The sequence below is a fragment of the Homo sapiens genome, chromosome 15, assembly GCF_000001405.40.
Source record: "Homo sapiens chromosome 15, GRCh38.p14 Primary Assembly".
Lineage (NCBI taxonomy): Eukaryota > Metazoa > Chordata > Mammalia > Primates > Hominidae > Homo > Homo sapiens.
The window spans coordinates 99734067-99740132 of NC_000015.10; positions in this window are offsets into that span (position 1 = coordinate 99734067).

Consider the following 6066-nt stretch of genomic DNA (forward strand, 5'->3'; position numbering starts at 1 on the left):
GGTGGAAGAATTCTCACACACTGGCCGGGCGCGGTGGCTCACGCCCGTAATCCCAGCACTTTGGGAGGCCGAGGCTGGTGGATCACGAGGTCAGGAGTTCGAGACCAGCCTGGCCAAGATGGTGAAACCCCGTCTCTACTAAAAAAATAAAAATAAAAAAAAATAAAAAAGTTAGCCGGGCATGGTGGCGGGCGCCTGTAATCCCAGCTACTCAGGAGGCTGAGACAGAGGATTGCTTGAACCCGGAGGCGGAGGTTGCAGTGAGCCGAGATCGTGCCACTGCACTCCAGCCTGGGCAACAGAGGGAGACTCCATCTCAAAAAAAAACAAAAACAAAAACCTCACACACTAAGGCACAAAGTTCAGAGCTTCTACTTAAAAAGGAAAACCAAAATTAAAAAGCAGATAACCTAGGGAAAATAAACTGAACACAACAAAGGATTAAAATCCTTCGCTGAGAGAGACTTCATATGAATAGGAAAGATGCTAAGACCTCAGCAGGTCTGAGGGAGACCTCAGAGAGACAGGAGCAGATAATTCAGCAAACAATGCAAATGGTCAACAGGTTGAAAATGTTTTTAACCCTCACTTGCAATCAGATTAAACAACAAAGCAAACATTAAAACAAGATCTCACAAACCTTTTCCCACTAATAGGATTTGACTGTGTCCACACCCAAAACTCATCTTGAATTGTAGCTCCCACAGTTTCCACCTGTTGTGGGAGGGACCTGGTGGGAGGTGATTGAATCATGGGAGCAGGTGTTTTCTGTGCTGTTCTCCAGATAGCGAATGAGTCTCACTAGATTTGATGGTTTTATAAAGGGAAGTTGCCCTGCACAAGTTCTTTTCTTCTATCTGCTGCCATGTGAGATGCACCTTTCACCTTCAGCCATTATTGTGAGGCCTCCCCAGCCAGGTGGAACTGTGAGTCCATTAAACCTCTTTCTTTTGCCCAGTCTCGGGTATGTGTTTATCAGCAGGATGAAAACGGACTAATACACCCACTTAAACTAAAAGTCAAATTGTTAATCTTCGTGGACAAAGCCCAAAATGGTCTGGACTCCAGGACTTACCCTCCCCTAACCCCCAGGGTTCTCAAGACTCTGGCCTTGGAATGAGAGTGACATCATCAGCTTCCCTGGTTCTGATGTTTTTGGACCTGCACTGAACCATATTATCTGCATCCCAGGGTCTCCAGCTTGCAGACCCACCTGTCCCGGGACTTTCAGTCTCCTTAATTGTGTGAGCCAAGTCTAATCTCCTCTCTCTCACTCACTCACTTTGTGTCTCTCTCTATAGGTAGAAATAGATATATAGATAGATAGACAGATATCTCCTATTGGTAGGTAGGTAGGTAGATAGATAGATAGATAGATAGATAGATAGATAGATAGATAGATTAGATAGCTCCTATCAGTTCTGTCTCTCTGGAGGACTTGACTCTGTATCTGTAGATAGGTAGATATCTCCTATCGGTTCTGTCTCTCTGGAGGACCTGACTCTGTATCTGTAGATAGATAGGTATCTCCTATTGGTTCTGTCTCTCTGGAGAACCTAATACAGGCTTCAAGGCTCCTTCTCTCAAGCTGCTTGCATTACTGGACTGTCTGAGCCTCAGGCCTCAAAGTAAGTCATCTTCTCAGTGAGTTCTCCCCTGTCCAGCGGGTATATGTAGGTGCTCCCTTAGTGCTCTGTGAGAACACGGTTTCTTCATAGTACTTCCTAGTTCATTTACTTGTCATTTATTGCCAGAATACTACTGTCCCCATACAACTTCCAAGGCCCAGCTGAGTGGCGGCGTCTAGAGGTGCTCATTCAATGTGGGCTCATTAGGAGAGCTGTTCTGATGACCTGACCCAGGATACGGGAAGGCAAACTAAAATTAAAAAGCATATTATCTGGGGAAAATAAATGCATCCCGACAAAGGATTAAAATCCTGAGTTGAGAGCACCAAAATCCAAATCCTAGTGTGTCTATTCCAGAGGCCTGGCTCTCAGCCACCAGCTGTACTTCGGGCCCAAGGCACCTGGCCATGGCCCGGTGGGTTTGGCAAATCCAGGAGTCAGAATTTCAAAGTGTGACTAATGGCAAGAAAAGTCACAACAGAATTTGTAAAGCTGGATTAGTATTGCTGCTTTCTGATCAGTTATGGTTGTTTCATTCATTCAGTGTGTCCAGTACAAAATAAATCCAGACTTAGGATAAAGTTTATTCCAAAAGATTATTGCAAGGTGGTGGGAGGGACTATTGCAATGGGGAGAACTTCTGACCATAAGCTCTGTAACATCTCAAGAGTTAGACAGAAAGTTCTCCTTTCACAGCGAAGTAACAAAGCTAGAAAGAGCACGGTATGGGGAAGCGGGATGAAAGGGTGGTGGGATCTGGTAGTAGATCAGAGAATGTTCTACCCTGGGGTCAGCCAAGTCTCAGGAAGAGCTTATGCTGGCTCAGGTTGTGGTGGAGTCAAGGTTTATTCAGTGGGCTAGGGGAAGAGAGAAGCCTAATCAAAGTTTGGTTAGCAAGCATTTTGTTCCAATTGATTACTGGGGTCAAGCAGTTTCACTAATTATTTATGAGATAAAAGGAATTTGGAGGGTCTGGGGCTGGCCTTGTCATAGGTAAACCAGGGTGGCATTTGTGGGTCTTACCTAAGTCATATGGAGAAGGGAGTTCTTTGTAGTAGGTGTTTTCCAGAAGACAAAGGGTGGAGGAATTTCTTAAACCCCACTGTTTTCCAGGAGCACAAGGTTTGGGTAGAGTTCAGCACTGTCAAGCTTATGTCTGTGGCACTCCTTCCGTGTGCTGGGGCACAGTGGCGGACAAAGCTATAAGGTCAACTTTGATTGGCTGTATAAGGCTGATAAGGCCTCATAGCCTTACAATTGCCAGAAGGAAGATGGAAAATCAAAGACATACACAGAAAAGGTCATTACAGATGGTGCAAGATCTTCCAAAGAAACAAGGTCATGCATGTGAGCAAAAATTATATAAACTTTGTAAAGGCAAAAGAATGGCTGTGTCCTTTCAAGGTCATATGAGGACTTGGCCGGCTGGACTGCCCAGGAATTAAGTGATTGTCAAGGCAGCAGTTCTCCAAGTGTGTTCTAGGGATCCCGGAGTCTGTGATGTCCAAACGATGTTCATAGTAATGCCAACATTATTTGCCTTTTGCATTTCACTTTCTCCTGATGTACAATAATTTAGCTAATGTTTATTGAGTCCTTACTGAGTACAACACCCGTGTGAGGTGGGAACTATTATAATCCTCAACTTACAGTTGGAAAAACTCACTAGGGGAGAAATTGCAAGTTTGCCACCTAATATCAATTCTCATCTTTTCCTTTAGAAAGAGAACCCCAACATTATTGGGGGCATCAGCATGCCAAGCCAAGACCACATATCAGCCCTCCTTGCAGTGGGTTGTACGCATGTGAATAAGTTCTAGACAATGAGGTCAAAGAAGAAAATGTGAGCGGGACTACTGAAGAAGTCCTTAAAAGGGGGAGATCTGGAAAAGCTCTGAAATGTGAGTGCCTTTTTTTTATTCTCCCTGCCTCTCTGCTGCCTGGAATAAAGATGTGATGGCCAGAGCACATGCAGTCATCTTGGACCATGAGGTGGAATCCATGTACTAAGTAAGGATGGCAGAGCAGAATGGTGGATGGGGTGTAAAAGAGAAATAAATGTCCTCATGTTTAAGATGCTGTTAGGATCTCTATCACTAGCAGCTGAATAAATTCCTAATTTATATGCTTATGCACAAAGATGAAGTTACTTGCTCAAGATGTCATAGCTAGTAAGTACAGGAGACAGGATAAAACCCCAGACTGTGGCTCCATAGCCCCAATCTTGTGAAAACTTCTGAGCAGAGCCCATTTTTGCTTTCACTGCTGACTCAGCCCCACCCAGGAAGCCTGTTCACCTGGTCAACATTTTCCCCAGAAACATCCCCAAGTTCTCTCCCCAGGCCTTGGCTTGACTGGCTGAGTTATAGTATCTCTGGCCTGAGTTTCCTGAGGCCAGATGAGAAGTGTTAAGAGTGACATGACTTGTCTACTGAAGTGTGCCAAGGTCATGTCCACCAAGGACTCCACTACTGTGGCCCCAAGAAAGCTGGGACTAAACCTGCACAAGCAGACATGCCGCCCAGGTGCCAAAGCTGTGTCACCTCATGCCTGTGCCCGACCTCCCTTGGAGCCCTAGCAAGGGTAGGGAGAGAAGAAAAGTAGCAGGTGCTCACTGAGTGGCTGGCTTTCACAAAATGTGTCAAAAATCCAGTGGGTGGAGAGCAGAGAACTGTGTTATCAAAGTCATTAGAATTTCTTAAGCTACAACTGCTCATTTTATAGAGAGGAATTTAAGACCCAGAGACGTGAGGGGACCTGCCTGAGGCTGCACAGCAGGTTAGCACGTTGGGAGATGAGGTGAGTCCAAAGCCAGCTCTGCATTCAGTGGCTGTGTGACCTTGACTGAGTCCTGTAAGCCTTCTGGACTTTGGTTTTCCACTGCCACTGTGTTGTTCCCTATGCTTGGGGTGACCATACATTCTTTCTGTCCAAAACAATCCCAGAGCATGCCTATCGTCACAGCACAATTATTAGAAACACTCCTTCCCTCCTCGTAGTGTCTGGACACACCCTACACCTCTCTGTGTGACAGTGATATGGTTTGGCTCTGTGTCCCCACCAAAATATCTTGTTGAATTGTCATTCCCAGTGTTGGGGAAGGGATCTGTTAGGAGGTGATTGGATCATGGGGGCGGATTTCCCCCATGCTCTTTTCATGATAGTGAGTGAGTTGTCATGAGATCTGGTGGTTTAAATGTGTGTGTGATGTTTTAAATATTCCCCTCACTCTCTCTCTCCTGCTGCCATATGAAGAAGGTGCTTGCTTCACCTTCTGCCATGTTTGTAAGTTTCCTGAGGCCTCCCAGTCATGCTTCCTGTTAAGCCTTCAGAACTGTGAGTCAATTATACCTCTTTTCTTCATAAATTACCCAGTCGAAGGTAGCTCTTTATAGCAGTGTAAGAACGGACTAATAGACAATTTGCCCATGGACTGTGTACCTGGCACCTGCTCCCCACGGACCCCCCAGCAGACTTTGCCAGTTCATTGCAGAGGCCCAGATGGCCGTCAGTATCCAAGACAGCCATGACCAATCAAGCAATATTGTCAGGGGAGGGGAAACTGATTTGCCATCCCTGCTCTGCAGTATCTAGTAGTCTGGATTTGGTTCCTTAAGTTGTGGGTTCTCTAATGACTCAGGAAAATCCACTGGTTATTGCCAGTGTGGAATTTGCATTTCCATGAAATAGAAAGAAGAAAACTTCCTGACTTCTGCTTGTTGTCAAGTGACTGTGAGAAGTGAAGCCCTTGGAAGAAACATGGCTATGAGTGTGAGAGCTCATAGCTCCAGAGATATTGCCAACTTCAGGAATTCATGAGAAAGTAGTAGAAAGAAGAAAACAGGAAATGTATTGCATTTGGTACGGCAAAAACAATTATTGAAAGTTTAACAGGCTTATGACAAATGGGGTAAAAATGTTTGCCATCTTTGATACATTGATATCCTTAATATATAAAAGGCATACAGATCTCAATAAAAAAGCACTTTATAGAAAAATAACCAAATGATGCAAAAATTCACTAAAGAAATACATATAGGAAAAAACTGTTAACTTTACAGATAGTCAAGTAAATGGAAATTCAAAAAACTACAAGATATTCATTGTCACCTACAGACTTGGAAAAAGTCGAACCTAAAAGGATGATAGCGAACTTGGCTGTGCACGTGGGGAAAGGAGTGTACTTACTCCTGGGCAGTCTCGTGGGAATGTAAATTTGGGATGTTTGTAGCATTATATAGTAGTAATTTTTTAAATGTTCATATTGTTTGATTCTGATCTCCTACATTTAGGAGTTTACCAAGGAAGCAATTTGGACATGTAAAAAGATTTAGCTACAGGACTGTTCTTAATGGTGAGAAATGGTGGAAAAACTAAAAATGTCCAAGAGTGGGTGATTAGGTTGAGTTCATTAAACTCATTTATTAAATGGAATCAA